At 34.7% G+C, this 19,023-nt stretch overlaps 5 annotated features.

Moving 5' to 3' along the window:
- Positions 10,682–12,657: an enhancer, noted in NCBI's record as "VISTA enhancer hs993". NCBI's record gives its function as "enhancer in: hindbrain (rhombencephalon)[3/7]" and the evidence as "EXISTENCE:transgenic organism evidence [ECO:0001131][PMID:17130149]".
- Positions 12,695–12,839: an enhancer, noted in NCBI's record as "145 bp 12:17311674 sequence used in MPRA reporter constructs". NCBI's record gives its function as "activates a minimal TATA-containing promoter with rs10770196 allelic activity by MPRAs in C283T melanocytes {active_cell/tissue: C283T}" and the evidence as "EXISTENCE:reporter gene assay evidence [ECO:0000049][PMID:36423637]".
- Position 12,767: a transcriptional cis regulatory region, noted in NCBI's record as "rs10770196 or 12:17311674 MPRA-significant variant associated with a GWAS melanoma risk locus at 12p12.3". NCBI's record gives its function as "allelic transcriptional activity by MPRAs in C283T melanocytes {active_cell/tissue: C283T}" and the evidence as "EXISTENCE:reporter gene assay evidence [ECO:0000049][PMID:36423637]".
- Positions 14,059–14,203: an enhancer, noted in NCBI's record as "145 bp 12:17310310 sequence used in MPRA reporter constructs". NCBI's record gives its function as "activates a minimal TATA-containing promoter with rs35270058 allelic activity by MPRAs in C283T melanocytes {active_cell/tissue: C283T}" and the evidence as "EXISTENCE:reporter gene assay evidence [ECO:0000049][PMID:36423637]".
- Position 14,131: a transcriptional cis regulatory region, noted in NCBI's record as "rs35270058 or 12:17310310 MPRA-significant variant associated with a GWAS melanoma risk locus at 12p12.3". NCBI's record gives its function as "allelic transcriptional activity by MPRAs in C283T melanocytes {active_cell/tissue: C283T}" and the evidence as "EXISTENCE:reporter gene assay evidence [ECO:0000049][PMID:36423637]".

Here is a 19,023-nt window from a genome sequence, read left to right as displayed (position 1 = left end):
ATACCTAAAATATTTATTATCTGGCTGTTTAAAGAAAAGTTTTGCTAACCCATGGTACAGAAAACAAAAGTAGATTTAAAAGGAAATATTTTTTCAACAGCGATAATATTAGATAGCTGCATTCAGGAGTTGTGGGGCTTTTCATGATAAAATCAACTGGTGTTAATTCCTTATGTTAGTGAAAGGAACAATGAACAAGGCTATTAAGAGATATTTTTTGTTGTTGTTGAGGGGAGGGAGGAGAGAGAGACAGACACAGAAAGAGAGCTCCACAGAGAGGATTGTTATTAATGAAATAAAACATCCACAAAGTGGCTTTTTGTCTTTTTCTTTAGTCTCTTACTTCAATTAATAAAATTATAAAATTTGTGAGTATAACTTTTCATAAAATTTGGAGAGATGTTTGTATATTTCTAGAATGCCCTTTGATTACTGGTTTTACTGGATTTTTTTTAATTGAAGGCCTTTTGACTATTTAATGACATCTCTTGGCCCTTTCTCTGAAAAAATGCACATAATCATATACCAAATTTTTTTCCTATTTGATTCAGTATATGAAACCTTTAATACTTACTCATTAATCCCTGTATTGATTTCATATCAAGAATTCTTGCTCTGGATTAAACATATTCATACTTTTAGTTCATCATGAACTTAAATATCTTTTATTTTAGTCTTGATTCTTCTTTATCTTATGTTTGGCACATTGTAAATAAAGACATAAGTCATTTTTGAAAGCCATAAGAAATTGGATGCTGCTTTTTGAAATTAAAAGAGAAGAGGCAATAAATAGATTTTAAAAATTAATATTAGCAAAATTAAAATATTCTAAAATTAAATTATTCTAAATAATTATTTTTAAATAATTAGCATATTACTTTATAAATGAAAACAAAACTCTTGCACAACATTCATAGCTGAGATGGTAAAAATCCTTTGCTTTTAACTCAGAACCTTAACTCAAAATCTCTCCACTAAGGTTTTCCAGGAAACTAAACAAATAGCTACGTGTATGTCTCTCTCTAACCAAAGTTTTATGACAAAATACTTTATAGACTTAAAGTTGTTAAAATGTGCTTTGATACAGGCTCATGAGGGAACATATTTCATTTATATATTTCACCAGTAAATCTTTATTCTTACAGAATGTATTAATGCTTAGAGAACAGATGTTTCTTGAAGTAGATTGGGATCTGCTGCTGTAGTCGAGCAGTCTCATTTACCAAAGAGAAAATGAAAGGTCGAGGAGGTTAAGTCCTTGCCCAAAGTCTCACATCTTAATAGCAGAACTCAATCCGAGACTTGGGTTTTCTTTCCTTGTCTAATGCTCTTTTCTTTCTTCTCTATGAAATAACTTAATATTATTCCTCTTTACTCTCCATTTAAGTTCTACCTGGGTCCAGATTACTGCAATCAGAATCATTGTAAATTTAGTTGGGGAATTCTTCATTGCTATGATGGGTACAGAGAGTTTACTTCAAATGCACTGTGACAGGGAATAATTTATCTCTCATAACCATTTAAAACACCACTTTAGATGACTGAATGTCGGCTTTCTAGTCAATGTTGACTGCTGAGGCTCTGACAGAATGACAGTCCTTAACTGGTTAATCAGAGGATGTAAGTGATGTAAAGGTGACAGTCACTACTCTATTAGTGTTCCCAAACGGAAGATCAGAACTTCTACTCATGATGCTTGAGAAAAGTTTTATAAGCACTAAGGCAATCTTTATCATGATTTTTAAAACAAAAGGTTTTAAGTATCAGAGGATGATACTTTGTGGCCCAAACTTTCTCCCCATTGCTGGTTAAACATAACAATTCTTATCTGACATGTGACACCATCATAGCATGTTGTCATTCATTATAGGGTATTTTTGTTTGTTTTTAGTTAGTTTGTTTGTTTGAGACAGGGTCTCACTCTATCACCCAGGCTGCAGTGTAGTAGTGCAAATTCAGCTCACTGCAACCTCTACCTCCTGGGCTTAAGCAATCCTCCCACCTCAGGATCCCAAGTAGCTGGGACTACAGACACACATATCGCCATGTCCAGCTAATTATTTTGGTATTTTTCATAAAGACGGTTTCACCATGTCGCTCACACAGGTCTCAAACTCCTGGGCTCAAGAAATCTGCCCGCCTTGGCCTCCCAAATTGCTGAGATTACAGGCGTGAGCCATAGTGCTCAGCCCAAAGTAAGTTTCTAATAACATTTTCATTGCCACATTTTTCAAATAAACTACTTGAGAATTATTTATACATTTATACTACATGAGAATTATACATTTATACTACATGAGAATTGTTTACACATGTGATTGTCATTCTTACATGTGCAGCTGGCAATAAATAGAGAACTGTTGCACAAAGAAAGTTCTGACAAGCTTTCTTTCAGGATATATTTATTTCAAGTTACTTACTTGTGGAGTTTTACACACACATACACATGCACACACACATCACAGAATCTAAAACTATGGATTGCCATCAGCATCTCCCCATCTCCAAAATGTTTCATTGTAGGCTTTGAAATTCTAACCCCTCAAAATTCTATCTGGTGCACAAAGAAAGCTCTGACAAGTTTTCTTTCAGGATGTATTTATTTCAAGTTACTTACTTGTGGAGTTTTACACACATACACATGCACACACACATCACAGAATCTAAAACTATGGATTGCCATCAGCATCTCCCCATCTCCAAAATGTTTCACTGTAGGCTTTGAAATTCTATCCCCTCAAAATTCTATCTCTCGTAATGTGTAGATGTTTTTCTCAATGTTGAATAACTCCACCAAGGAATTGAGATGACCAAGAAATAAGGAAGGGTAAAATCAATGCACTCTCTTTTTCAGAATAGAGCAGACATATATGTGAGTCTAAGATATGTATACGATGCTGTTTATTTGGATTCTTCAATGCCTTTTAATGAGCTAGACACATTCAGAATGCTTCAACCACCTGCTACTTCAGTAACAATGTATGTATTTCCAGATATTTTCACTGAGTAGCAAAGAGTTACAGGGCACCAGGGTGAAAAAATTGGAAATTGATGTTCCATATTCTAGTCTGGGAACAGGACGGCTGTTATACAAAAATTTTAAGCTATATGTGTGTGTGTGAGTGTGTGTGTGTGTGTACACACCTTATATATACCTCTTGCTATATATATACATTATATACATTATGTATATTATATATAATCTGCGTAATATGTATCTGTATTATACATATATCTATTCTTTAATATTAGATCATGGGAAATTAAGATATGAGCAAGCTACTCTGAATATCACAATATCAACAAGCCTCATCACATGATTTTAAAAGGAACTAAACTTAGTGTAACTATATGAGGAATATTTTACCTCCTAAGAAGCTTCATCTTTTATGTTGTTGAAGCCAGAAGCATTATATTCACAGTTTCAGAGTCAACCTGTGCCTGGATAGATATTGATCTAAATCAGTTTGGTCTGGTAATATTATCTCTCTTGTGATATGGTTTAACTTTTTACCATAAGAGATTTCCTCCAACCTGGAATGCATCCAGTGTTCAGATAGCTAAAGGGAAAAAATACTGAAGCAGCTACTTGCACCTACAGGCTACACCTACACACTAAACTCACTACACAGTCAGCTTGGGTGAAATTAGAGAGAAAACTGCCCAAGCGTGTCAAATGTCTAAGCTTTAAGACCCGGGGTGGAATGAAACAAAAGAGGAAGGAGTCCAGGGGTGTTTTAGCGTAATCATGCTGGCTCATGCCGCTGAAGGAACAGCTGGGATTGAGAACTCACTGCTGTGAGGAAACTTGCAATTGTATTCCCATCCCACAGTCACCAGTGGACAGGTAGGATGTGTGTGTGTGTGTGTGTGTGTGTGTGTGTGTGTGTGTGTGTGTGTGAAATGTTCCTGGTAAGAAAGCAAAAAGAGAGAAAAAAATTCAATACCACAGAAAGTAATATGTTTCTCATTCCTTTATTATAAATGTATGGTATCTTAAATATCTCTCAGCTCTCTACCCCTTAAGTTTCACTTTTGACAGCTTGCTAAATGAGACTGTGTGGTGCATAGCATTCGAATACCCTTTTATTCAATGTGAAATTCTATTAGAGTATTCCAGAAAGTACTAGTACGATACATGGAATCTGTTTTTTTTTACATGCAATATACATATGGAGGATAAATTGTTTTTGGTAAATACAGGTAAATTCATGAGAATTTTTTATACAGGTGAGTGTCACTCTTTATACCAATGTATGTTATTGTTGTTGTTTATGTTTAGTGTTTTTAGTGCTAGGAGGAGGTGGCATCTGGTAATTCAAAGCACTGGATGTAAGCCCAGGTATCAAGGCAACATTGTACTTTGTTTCCTTACATTTCCATGGCCCCATTTTGATGGCTTTTCGATCCATCTCTATCTCCATTTGCAGATTTAGCCATTTGGTAAAACTGACTGACAGCAAAGTCAGGCACATGAGAGAAGACATCAATGGTACTTTTTGGAAATAAAACATGTTAATAGGACCTAAAACCCTATAAATGACACATCATGTATCTGTTTACCAGATACATTTATATCTATTGCAGAGACTGGAGTTAGAACTGGATAGGTGGAGAGGGCATAAAGCTATACACCTCAATGGAAGGAAAATAACATTATCTGAACCGCTTTCCAAAATGAGAAAAAAAAATCTACAAACAAGACTCACATGAGATATTCCTGCAGAATATTACCATGATATTTGGCCTTCTGTAATGTAACTTATAACAAAACAGTAAGTGGTTTCTAACATTGGTGACAGATGGTTACTTGAACTACCAAAGTTGGTTATGTTATACATTAATTACTGTAAAAGATGTATGACTAAATGGTACAACTCAGACATTCCACACTTCCATACACATATTCATATTTTGACCCTTAGCCCAAAGTCAAATCAGATCATTAAGAGATTTGTATAATTTCTAGTGTACTAGGAGTTATTTTCTTCCTTTCAATTAGCAGAGCTACCCATGACATTCTGGATGAAAACCTCTGTACTAGAGAAGTAAGTATAACATAAGTAGCTAAATTGGTTTGCATAAGGATGCTGCATCTCTAGAAGTGAATTTCATTCTAGAAGTTTTAGTATTACTAGGCAGATATGAGTTAAAAATCTGATTCTAATCGAGACCATCCTGGCTAACACAGTGAAAACCCTTCTCTACTAAAAATACAAAAAATTAGCCTGGAGTGGTGGTGGGTGCCTGTAGTCCCAGCTACTCTGGAGGCTGAGGGAGGAGAATGGCGTGAACCCGGGAGGTGGAGCTTGCAGTGAGCCGAGATCGCGCCACTGCACTCCAGCCTGGGCGACAGAGCGAGACTCTGTCTCCAAAAAAAAAAAAAAAAAAAAATTTCATTCTAGGCCAAGCAGCTAAGAGGAGTTGGGTATTTTATTTTGTCTAACATTTCATTTTGCACATTGGTGTATACTACCTACTTCATAGAGTTATGAGTAAGTGAACAAATGCCTGCCAGTCATGGAAAGTATAGCTGCTGGCACACAGTGAGAATTTAGTCGATATAAGTCATTTTTTATTCTTTGTCATTATAACATAATTATAGTTATTCAGAGATACCTACACATTTAATACACATTTAATTGGCTTATTTGTCCTCTATTATATAATCTATTTAATATCTATAAAATACCCAAGACCTGGTAGACACACCAAAATACAGAAGTATTAATGTAATACATGTAAATTCTCAACTTTCTCTCCCTTTAAAAAAATAGAATCTCAAGAAATTCTTAGAAGTTGTGGATTAGATTGAATGAGCTAGCAGTTGAATTATTTCAAACCCTTATGCATATTTAAAACCAATGGACCAGTTAATTATTGTATTGCAGCCAAATTTACTAAGTTTCTTTTCAAATGACTGATTTAATGTGTGAATTTTTTAATTAAAAAATAATTAGGGAAAATTCAGTTAAAATAGAAATCTCTCAAATGCATTCAGATATCCAAACCAAAGCAGTAAAGCCTATAGATTATGCACACTGATTTTGATATCAGACAGACCTGGTTTGAATCACAATTTCATCACAAATGAACTGGTGGTTTTGGAAAAGGAAAATTTATGTTGATTTCTTCTGCTGTAAAACAGGGATAATACTGGGACAACCTCTTGTCCCCGTATTGCTTAGCATATCTCAGCTCATATTAAGTGTTCAATAAATATTATTTATTGTTGTTGCTATTGCTATTGTTATGTGTGTGATACATTAATCTACCTAAAAAGAAGATTGATTGCGTTAATATATCAGAACTATATTTAAATTAAATTTAAATCAACTTAAAATATTTCTTATCTGCTTTCAGTTATTCCTTGATATCTATTTATGGAGAATTGCTTGTGGGACACCTGTGGATACCAAAATTAGTGGATGCTCAAGTCCAGTAGAAGAAATGGAGTACTATTTCCATATAATCTATGCATATCCTCCCTTACACTTTAAATCATGTCTTGATTATTTATAATAGCAAATATAATGTAAATGTGCTATAAATAGTTATTATTCTGTACTTTTTGTGTGTACTTTTAAAATTGACTTATTTTTAATTTTCTTTAAATACTTTTGATTTGCGGTTGGTTGAATCTGAGGCTATGAAAGCTACAGACGTACTCAGAAATACACTATCTTTATGATGTCTTTTAATTTTCATAGTGTACTTTGAATACACCATTACATCTGCTTTGAATATATTTTTATAGAATTATGACCTTTGAACTGTTGGACATTTCTTATTTTCTTGATTTGACAAGTTCAGTGTTAACAGAATGCCTGATCAGGTTTCAGTTTTAAAAGCCATCTCTTCAGGTAAGTTTTCTCAGACTATTACATTCAAAATAACAACTTATTTTGCACTTATTTATTGTCAACTCCAACAGATTATAAACCCCATAAAGAAAGGGACACATTTTGTTCACTAATATGTTTACAGAACTTAGTTACCTGGCATTCAGTATAAAAAATACTTTTTTGTGGAATGAATAAATGAGGTAATCATATATAATAGACTTGCAGTTAATAGAAAAGGGGCTCACAAAAGACAGAATTTTTATCTATACACATTTTTTTTGGGTTATGCTGCTACCTTGACTTTTAAGAAGATACACATTTTATTCTGATGAAACTTATGAAAAAGAGCTAGTCAAAATTTTGTTATGAAAATATCTCATATACATTTAAAAGGGAGAAAAATATTCACAATGCCATACCACCATCTAGGGATAATAATAGCTAATAACATTTATTGTGCACTTGCTTAGTGCCAAGTCCTGTGCTAAGCATATCATTCACATAGTTATTCTATTTTATGTTCCATAAAACTGTAAAGTACAGGCTATTATCATCATCTTTTAGATGAGAAAACTGGGATACAAATGGAGTAAGTAAATTTTCAAAGCTACATAATTAAAGTGGTAAGACAAGATTTCAAACTTAGAATATTTACAAACCTTAGCCTTTAACCCTATATTATGATGTTAAAATATTTTTGCCTATTTCATACATTTGCAGACTTCCTTGCAGTTTATTTTCGAAGCTATGTGGTTCCTTATAATAACAATTCTGAGCATTCCCTTCTGAATTATGTATCCTTCAACATTGCATTTTTAAATTGATACTTTTTAACAATTCCTCTTTTTGCAGGACACTGAGATTATTTCCTCTTTTGAGAACTGTAGTGAGGCATTGGTTAGTTTATCAGGGTAGTATGATTGAAGCAAAGCCATTCGCTATATTAAAAGAGTATGAGCATTTTTAAAAATCTCGGTTTTTGTTGCCAAATGTTTTTGAAATGTATACGTTTTACCTCTGGGATCATTGTTTAAAGTACCTATTTTATATGCCTTTGGTAGTCTTTTGGCATAAATATTTTTCATAAATCATAGTTTCAAAAGTGAAAAATAGTGTCTCAATATTTTAGTTTTTATGTTTAGCATGGTTTTTATACCTTTACTGTTTTTCAAATTGTTCTTTTTTAAATTGCCTGTTTCAATCCTTTCCCAACAGTTTTTCTTTCACAGTTACTTGTTTTCAATTTTATTTATGACAGTAGTATTTCTCCATCATACAGATTAAATTTTTTAAATTCTAGCCCAATTGTGGATTTTACTTTTGTTTACTATATTTGGTGATATGCAGAAATTGTAGCTCATTTTTTTTATGTTATTTCGGTACTTAAAAGTTCTTCTCTAGGACAAAATCTATTCTACTTTTATTTATGTCTAATATATTTAATTATTCAAATATAAAATCTAGTACAAATGTATAATTATTGCAATTAATTATTTGTTACATCATCATGTATTGACATATATATATTCCCTAAGAGATTTTAATGATATCATTTTTATTTGGACAGTTTTATGTATGTGGTTTCCTGCTTCTGGGCTGCCTATTTTGTTCTTTTGATCTTTATGTCAATTCTTTATTAATAGTCCCTTCTTATTATCACTACAGTTTTATATAATCTACTATCTAGTAGGCAGTGTCTTTTATTTGTACTTTTTTTCCAGAATGCTAATAGCCTCATTAATTTTCCAGATGTGCTCTAGAATTATTTTGCCAAGGTCCAAATAATCTCTACTAGGGTTTTAATTAGAATTGTATTCAATATGTTCTTCAATGAAGAATAATTGACACCTCTGAAATATTCAGAATTCTTTGGTGTCTTTTTGTCAGATTATATAGCTTTATTCATATTGCTTTTAATCATATCTTACCATATTGGTTCTATGTATCTTATGCTGACTTGTATTTTTAAGACATAAACTGGAACCAAACATAAGCAGTGGTAAAACTCATAAAATTTCATAACTATAGATATTACATCTTAATCATGGAAATGATGCCACCCAGAATTTAATTAAATGTCAGTTTATCTATATGGTAGATCACACATAAACACTTTTGCCTCCACCAACACCAATCCCACCCACATACATTGGATTGAACCCAAGTTTATACAACAACTCATCTGCTTCTTCACTATTTCAAATCCCCATGGAAACAGGCAGGGTATCAATTTTAAACAATAACCCATAAGTGTGAGTTTTGTCACGCCAAAGTGTGGCATAAGATATGAAAAGTGGTTTGAATCCTAGCCTTGTATTTACTAGACTGCCCTTCATAAAGTTATTTAATATCTGTAATTTAATTTTGCTCATCAGTCAAAGCAGAAAAGTAATAAATCTTAAGTCATAGGATTGTGGTAAAGATTAAATGAGGTAATATTTGATTAAAAAAATGTCTGGAGTATAGTAAATGTTTGATGCAGATTGGATGTCATTACCTAAATGCGGGTACTTAGGTGAGGAGAAAGGGACACAAAGCGTATGATACCTTTCTTTTAAATCAAAATTCTAAAGGCTAGGCTAACCGAACATGCAAATCGCTGTCAAAAAAAAAAAAAAGACACCCAGTATATAGCATCCTTTTGCAATAAGTTCTTTTAAGAACATAACAAATAGTGCTATCAACATGAAAAGATAATATGGAGAATTTTGCACTGAGGACTATTTCCTAGCTGTCTCCTCCTGTTTGATTAACTATTAACTTTAAGTCAGTGAGAAGAACCTTTGACTATCAAAGATCCATAGGCATGGAAATACTCAAGTCGAAGAGAAAATTATAACTCAAAGTAGTCATATAGTTTTTCCAGCCCTTGTCTAATTTTATAGATAAGGAGTGGAATCTTGGAATAGAATTCTCTGAACTTCTTGGATATCTATCATATTTAGGAAAAGACTTAAATTTAAACTTAAAAATTCAGCATATGCCTGCTATGTATGTAGATATATATATATACACATATTTATATTTGCAAGTAGTATATATGTATAACTGTACTAATAAAATATCCATATTATAAAACATAAGCATAATGCTGTTTAAAAAACAAATAAAATAATATTTTTACATGACTTTCAAATCCTAATGCTTCACAGGTATTGTTAGTTGATAACTCATATTAAATATATTCTTAGAGTGAGGTTGACTGTTACTGATATTGGATTCAAATGCATATTTCAAATAGACTCCCTGTTATGTATAAAAGAATTTATTTAAGTTTTTTGATTACATCATTTTTTTTCTTCTGGTTTTTCCTTTTAATCTCTTAATGTAGAAGATAGGGAACTCATATTCAAAGTAGAGGCATGTTCGTTCTGCATTCTGCATTTTTTTATTATTCTCTTTTGCATACATATTTAGTATTACCTCATTTGTATATTGTCTTGGTAAAGATTTTCTCCAGGCATGTTTGTATTTTGTGAAATTTTATTAATTAAAACTAGGTGCTATAAACCACAAATTTAAATCGGCACAAACAAACTGTGATTAGTTGAAATATGTGAAAAGTGAACTGAAGAATGAAGGCCCCTGATAACCTCTGCCTCCAAATGTGGAGTACCCCCACTCTTCCCTCAAGTACTCTACACCGTGTCTGACATCCTAGCCAAATGTGGTTTCCAGTGCCATTCCTTATGCTGAATATTAGGAATGCTAAATGTTTTTCTTATTTAATTAGTTAAAAATCAATTTGAGCTGATAAGAGAAGTTTTCCTATTTCCTATCCAAATCCTAATAAATCCTTGCATATCCCACAATGCTAAAAATCGATTGTCTATTTACATTAGGCCATTCTCCATAACATTAAAGTTTTCCAGTTTTATAATTTGTATTAAGATTTAGAAGTTAAGAAATTCTAGCTACTAGGGACATACCTCCACTCAAGACCTCTGTGTGTCTGACTAGCGAAGGAAACGTGTGGCAGATGGGTGCAGAGATCCCACATTCTGCCCTTCTTCCAGAAGCTTTTCTCACCTCCAAATCTTTTTCTCCATTAAAATATATTCAAATATAATTAGTGTAACATTAACATGGAGGAAATTTTGTAATTGCCAGTTGTTCTGTAGCCATGGTTACATCAAAGATTTATAGCAAGTAACTCCCGGCTGGGCACGAACAAGCAGTTAGCAGGAGCAGCAGTAAGAAAATGTTTGTGTGCACGTGCAGGTGTGCTGACGTGAATGTTTGCCAAAAAAAAAAAAAAGAAAAGAAAAAAAGAAAGAGAATATTCAGTGACATTTAAGGTGCTAATATCTGGAAGTCAACCTTTAATTTGACAGCTTTTAGTGCTAGTTAATTTCATTCATCCAGGCGAGGTGTAGAAAATTTGCAGCACCTTTAAATTATCACGTTTTTCCACACTGCCTCGGGCCTATGTGGAATACCTGAACCATACTTTTTTTTTACCTTTTTTTTTTCAGGTCAGTTGAAGTAAAACTTTCATTCCCTTTCTCAGACAATTAATCTTTAGCTAATTGAAGCAGGGATGCTGCAGGATGGGTTTCAGTGGGGCCTGTAAATCTCATTTAGCAAAGTGAATTCAAGGCACATGCTGCACCTAATGATGTGACAGGTGGACTGCACCGCAAGACAGCAGCCTCGGAAAAGTTGATTCTTATTAGACCCGCAGAGTCCTGCAGTCAGTTTTCTGATGGCTGAAGAACACTAATCGCATCTGTTTGCTACTGGGGTGGGTGGGGGGAAGCAGGGAAGTTGAAAGGGGGAATGTGAAGGGAAGAAAATAAGAGGAAGGGGCAAAATTATCTTCTATTCTTTCACGAGTTAATATCCTTGACTCCTGCCCAAACACCAGCAGGTCTACCTCCCACCAAGCGATCAGCCTCCGTTCTGCTGACTCCAACAGGGTGCACCCTTTCTCTAATTAACTAAAATGGCTATGGAAAGCAAAGGAGGCCTTGTGTTGGGTGAACCAATTATTTTGAAGGGTATTAAGTCATCAGATTTACTTTTATCTTGATTGCATTGTGGAAATCGTGCATAATTAATGGTGGGAGCTTATTAGGAAAATGATTAGGCAAATTACACAGGTGTCGGATGCATTTTTTATGATAAATTTGCTAGAACAATCCTGCAATTCCATCTGTTCAGCTCACATCAGAATGTCACTCTGAAGAAATTAATGGTGCAGAGTTATACAAAGTTACTACAAGCTTTGGTTGCAGATTTAGGTAAGCTATGTATAAATATATAAATATATAAAAATATATATAATTATATAGCAATTACTAACAAGTTTTTGATGGTACAGCTCAATAAATTTCTTATTTAATCCTGAAAGTAAATGATATTCAGATGGAAACAGAGAAGTAGAGCAAATGTAAACCTCATCTCATCATTTTGATGTGTATGTAAATAAAAATAATCACAAGCTATAATAGCTCTTTGCTTTATGTAATGACTGCAGATGAGACACCAGCTCACTAGCAGCATGAATACTTGTTTTGTCCCAAAATGTCCAATCTTACCTGCAGCTGTTCTCATTTTCAATTTTCTTTCAGTTTTAAATGTAATCACCTTAAGAGTCGCAGTTTATCTGAAGCCTTTTTATAAGCAGTGTATATAGTATATCCATATAAACCAATTATTTACTGTCTGAGAAACCAACTTCCTTTTTGAATGCCAGAAGAAAGTCAGATAGGAGACTTGATAGGAGCTTCCATTCTACCTGATCATTTATCAACTGGGATCAAATCATGCTTATTCTCTCTATTTGTGTATGATCAAGTTATGTCATGTGTTAATATTCTCCAAAAACTTTCTGATATCACAAGCTGATGTAAATCTCTGATCTGAAATATCTGCTCTTACATATCAGAGCAATATACTTCACAGTGTCTTTTAAAAAATGTCAGACCTAGTTCTGTTGTCTTATCACAAAAAAAGTAGTTAATTCTTAGTAGCATTCAAAATATCTTCATACATCAAAGCCATCAGAAAATGTTTACAGTTTAAATTATTAGAGTACTGCTCTAAAATAGCAAATCACCCTTCCTTTTGTATAGCATCCTGGAAAGAACCATTATCATCATATGGTCTTTGGGCTCTTCAAATTCCAAAGCAAATTAGAACATTAATGAGCATTGACATAGTAGATATACTCACCGTGACATTCACCAAAGCAGCATTTTTGACTAAAGCATTTTACAAAGAGAAGATATGAGGTAATCCAGGCCAAGAAAAAGATCCAACTTCCATACTTCATATGTATTTTATTTAAGCTGCATATTCTCAACCAACTGAAGCCCAGTTGTCTGTTTTTCCTACAAAACTCTCAAACTCAACAAGATAAAAACTGAATTCATTATGACTACTTCCAAAATAGTTCCCATATGAATATATGCAAAACTTTAGCAAATGCTATTATATCCCCCACCTTATTAATCAGGCTTGAAATTTTAAAAACATATCTTTCCTCGGTCTCAATTCCAATGTCCAATTTACCACGAAGTCCAGTCATTTCTACCTCTAGAATATCTTCCCCTATCATCGATACTACCTCAGTTTGGAATTCATTGTTTCCCTCTCGTGTTAATTTGATGCCTTCAAAATTGTCTTTTTATTACTTAGCACTTTATACCACTACTGAAATTATTTTCTAATACTCTACCATTCAATATTTCCACATTGCTTATAAGATAAAAATTCATCTTTCTTGGAATAAAGGCCTTTCATAATCTGATGCTTTGCCTAGTTATTTTTTGCCACTCCCCTACAATCATCTTGAACTACCTGTGGTTCACTGAGTATGCCATGCATTTTAATGCTTCTTTGCTTGTGCAAGTGTTACTGCCTCTGCAAGGAGAGCTCATTCTTAATGTTCTGTTGTCTTAATATTCTTCCTCAAGTCTCTGAATAGTGCCACATCTTCTGTGAAATCTTCCTGAATCCCACAAATGCATTTTTTACCTTTTCCTCTGTGCAAATGTAGTACATTGTATTTAACTCAATATTACTATTTTTCTTAGCAAGTTCATCTCTTCCATTGAGGTGTGAGATCTTTGAATGGAGGGATTGTGTCTCAAGCTCCACTCTATAACTGCTGCCCAGTATATTTTCTAGCACATAATATATAATAATGATTATTAAGTAAATAAACAAATGAAAGTATATGTGTAGCCAGACATGTCTGAATAGTAACACCCCAACCAGCTTCAGCCACGGGAGATCTTGATTCATAGATAACTAAATTATTGATTAATGAAAGCAAGACGTTTTATGCTAGCACTTACCTTGGAAGCCAAACCTGGAATAAATCATAATTTTCTCTTACTTGCATCCTTACACACATACACAAATGCACACACATACACATATTTGTTCACCTACCACAGGTAGCACAGAGAAAGGTATTCTCTAGTAGCAGCAGCAGAGAGCTGTGTTGAGTGTACATATTGTCTTGCTACTCAAAATGTATACCAGGTCCAGCAGGGTTGGACTTAACCTGTAAGAAATGCAGGCTCTTAAAATATTACCAGGTGATGTATGGCACATAATGTTTTTGAGAGGCACAGCATTAGAAGACATATCTTTCACAAACTTCAAGGATTTATGTAGTAATAAATAGAAATACAAATGTAATAGAGGTATAAATTGAAATAGTGAAAAATTTGAATTTCAACTTTGATCAATATCAAGCAGATACTGAGAATTTTCTGTATTAATAATAGGACCTCTTATATAGGGAGTAACTTCTCCTCTTTATATTCCTACAGAGTGTGGATCAGCATTAGGGTGAGAAGTATTAGGTTGGTGCAAACATAACTGCGTTTTTTGCCATTACTACGGAATCGAGGAGAATAGAAAATAAAGATCTTCACAGAATCATGACATGACTATTATCTATCTTTTAAGTTACTTTATTCAGGTATGATTTATGTGCATATTTAAGATATACAACTTAGTGACTTTGGAAATAAATTATACCCATAATACCATCACCACAATCAATGTCATAAACACATCCATCACCTCAAGCAGTTTTTGCTTTATTATTATTTTATGTGTAATAAGAACACAAGTATTACCCTCTGTGAAACTTGAAGTCTACAATACAGTATTGTTAACTATAGGCATTATAATGTACAGTAGATCTCTAGAAATTATTCATCTCATATAACTAAAGCTTTGCACTATTTGACCAACACTCCTCATCCTCCTCACCCTAGTCCCTGGAAACCACATCCACACCAACATCTATTATTTTTTGATTTTTTGATTATGTCCATTCTTGCAGGAAAAAGGTAGTATTCCATTGTGGTTTTGATATTTTCATTTCCCTGATAATTACTGATGTTGAGCATTTTTTCATATGCTTGTTGGCCATTTGTATATCTTCTTATGAGAACTGTCTATTCATGTCCTTAGCCCACTTTTTGAAGGGATTTTTTTTTCTTGCTGATTTGTTTGAGTTCTTTGTAGATTCTTCATATTAGTTCTTTGTTGGATGTACAGATTGTGATGATTTTCTTCCACTCTGTGGGTTGTCTGTTAACTCTGCTGATTATTATTATTATTATTTGTTGTGCAGAAGCTTTTTAGTTTAATTAAGTCCCATCTATTTATCTTTGTTTTTATTGCATTTGCTTTTCAGTTCTTGGTCATGAAGTCTTTGCTTCAGCCAATGTCTAGAAGGGTTTTTCCAATATTATCTTCTAGAATCTTTATGGTTTCAGGTCTTAGATTTAAATCCTTGATCCATCTTGAGTTGATTTTTGTGTAAGGTGAGAGACGAGAATCCAGTTTCATCCTTCTACACATGGCTTGCCAATTATCCCATCACCATTTGTTAAATAGGGTGTCCTTTCTTCACTTTATGCTTTTGTTGGCTTTGTTGAAGATCAGTTGGCTGAAAGTATTTGGGTTTATTTTTGGGTTCTCTATTCTGTTCCATTGATCTATGAGCCTATTTTTATACCAATACCACGCTGTTTTGGTGACTATGGCCTTGTAGTGTAGTTTGAAGTCGGGTAACGTGATGTTTCCAGATTTGTTCTTTTTGCTTAGTCTTGATTTGGCTATGTGGGCTCTTTTTCGGTTCCATATGAATTTTAGGATTGTTTTTTCTAGTTCTGTGAAGAATGATGGTAGTATTTTGATAGAAATTGCATTGAATTTGTAGATTGCTTTTGGCAGTATGGTCATTTTCGTGATATTGATCCTACTCATCCATGAGTATGGAATGTGTTTCCATTTGTTTCTGTCATCTATGATTTCTTTCAGCAGTGTTTTCTAGTTTTCCTTGTTTCCTTATAGAGGTTTTTTACCTCCTTGGTTAGGTATATTCCAAGTATTTTATTTTATTATTATTTTTGCATCTATTGTGAAAGGGGTTGAGTTCTTGATTTGATTCTCAGCTTGGTTGCTGTTGGTGTACAGCAGTGCTACTGATTTCTGTACATTGATTTTATGTCCTGAAACTTTGATGAATTCTTTGTCAGTTTTTTGAGCTTTTTGGAGGACTTTTTAGGGTTTTCTAGGTATATGATCATATTATCAGCAAACAGCAACAGGTTGACTTCCTCTTTATTGATTTCGATGCCCTTTATTTCCTTCCCTTGTCTGATTGCTCTGGCTAGGACTTCCAGTACCATGGTGAATAGCAGTGATGAGAGTGAGCATCCTTGTCTTCTTCCAGTTCTCTGGGAAAATGCTTTAAACTTTTCACCATTCGGTACAATGTTGGCTGTGGGTTTTTCACAGATGGCTTTTATTAGATTAAGGTATGTCCTTTTTATGACAATTTTGCTGAGAGTTTTAATCATAAAGAGATGCTGAATTTTGTCGAACGCTTTTTCGGTGTCATTTGATATGAACATGTGATTTTTGTTTTTAATTCTGTTTATGTGGTATATCATATTTATTGACTTGTATATGTTAAACTGTTGCTGCATCCCTGGTGTGAAACCCACTTGATTATGCTGGATTATCTTCTTGATACGCTGTTGGATTTGGTTAACTAGTATTTTGTTAAGGATTTTTGCATCTATATTCATCAAGGATATTTGTGTGTATTTTTTGTTTTTGTTATGTCCTTTCCTGGTTTTGGTATTAGGGTGTTGCTGTCTTCATAGAATGATTTAGGGAGGATTTCCTCTTTCTCTATGTTGTGAAATAGTGTCAATAGGATTGGTACCAATTCTTATTTGAATGTCTGATCAAATTCAACTGTGAATCCATCTGGTCCTGGGCTTTTTTCTGTTGGCAATTTTTTTTCTTACTATTTATTGGTCTTTTCAGAGTTTCTGTATCTTCCTGGTATAATTAGGATGGTTGTATATTTCCAAGAATTTATCCATCTCCTCTAGGTTTTCTAGTTTATATGGGTAAATGTGTTCATAGCGGCCTTGAATGATCTTTTGTATTTCTGTGGTATCAGTTATAATATCTTCTGATATGGTTTGTCTGTGTACCCACCCAAATCTCACCTGAAATTGTAGTAATTCTTACATGTCAAGTGTGAGGGCCAGGTAGAGATCACTGAAACATGGGTGTGGTTTCCCCCATACAGTTCTCATAGTACTGAATAAGTCTCATGAGATCTGATGGTTTCATAAATGGGAATTTCCTTGCACAAGCTCTTTTTTTTTTTTTTTTTTTTTTTTTTTTTTGAGATGGAGTCTCGCTCTGTCGCCCAGGCTGGAGTGCAGTGGCGGGATCTCGGCTCACTGCAAGCTCCGCCTCCCGGGTTCATGCCATTCTCCTGCCTCAGCCTCCCAAGTAGCTGGGACTACAGGCGCCCGCCACTACGCCCGGCTAATTTTTTGTATTTTTAGTAGAGACGGGGTTTCACCGTTTTAGCCAGGATGGTCTCGATCTCCTGACCTCATGATCCGCCCGCCTCGGCCTCCCAAAGCACAAGCTCTTTTTCCTGCTGCCATGTAAGAGGTTACTTTACTCCTTATTCACATTCCACCATGACTGTGAGGGCTCCCCTGCCATGTGGAAATGGGAGTCAATTAAACCTCTTTCCTTCATAAATTATCCAGTTTTGGGTATGTCTTTATTAGTGGCATGAGAACTGACTAATACAGTACATTGGTACTGGTAGAGTGGGGTGCTGCTGTAAAAATATGTGATTATGAGGAAGCAACTTTGGCACTGCATAACAGGCAAACATTGGAACAGTTTGGAGGGCTCAGAAGAAGACAGGAAGATGTCGGGAAGTATGAAACTTCCTAGAGGCTTGTTGAATGGTTTTGATGAAAATGCTGTTAGGGATATGGACAATTAAGCTCAGGTTGAGGTGGTCTCAGATGGAGATGAGAACTTGTTGGGAACTAGAGCAAAGGTGACTTGTTATGCTTTAGCAAAGAGACTGGTGGCATTTTGCCCCTGCCCTGGAGATTTGCAGGATCTTGAACTTGAGAAAAATGATTTAAGGCATCTGGCAGAAGAAATTTATAAGCAATAAAGCATTCACGATGTGGCTTGGGTGCTGTTAAAAGCATTCAGTTTTATGTATTCACAAAGATACGGTTTGGAATTGGAATTTATGTTTAAAAGGGAAGCAGAGCATAAAAGTTCAAAAAATTTGCAGTCTGATTATACAGTAGAAAAGAAAAACCTATTTTCTGAGGAGAAATTCAAGCCAGCTGCAGAAATTTGCATAAGTAACAAGGAGCTGAATGTTAATTACCAAGACAATGGGGAAAATGTCTCCAGGGCAAGTCAGAAGTCTTCACGGCAGCCCCTCCCATCACAGACTCAGAGACTTAGGAGGAAAAAACGGTTTCACGGGCCAGGCCCAGGTTCCTGTGCTGTGTGTAGCCTAGGGACTTGGTGCCCTGCTTCTCAGCCACTCCAGCCATAGCTAAAAGGAGCCACGGTACATTCAGGAAGTGGCTTCAGAGTGGTGTTGAGCCTGCAGGTGCACAAAAGTTAAGAACTGAGGTTTGGGAAGCTCCATCTAGATTTTAGAGGCTCTATAGAAATACCTGGATGTCCAGGAAGAAGTTTGCTGCAGGAGTGGGGCCCTCATGGAGAATCTCTGCTATGGCAGTGTGGAAGAGAAATGTGGGGTGGGAGCCCACACACAGAGTCCCGACAGGGGCATTGCCTAGTGGAGCTGTGAGAAGAGAGCAACCATCCTCCAGACCCCAGGATG

This window comes from Homo sapiens, chromosome 12 (genome assembly GCF_000001405.40).
Source record: "Homo sapiens chromosome 12, GRCh38.p14 Primary Assembly".
In the NCBI taxonomy this organism is placed as follows: domain Eukaryota; kingdom Metazoa; phylum Chordata; class Mammalia; order Primates; family Hominidae; genus Homo; species Homo sapiens.
Note: the sequence above shows the minus strand (reverse complement) of the source record. Positions and strands in the feature narration are given on the sequence as shown.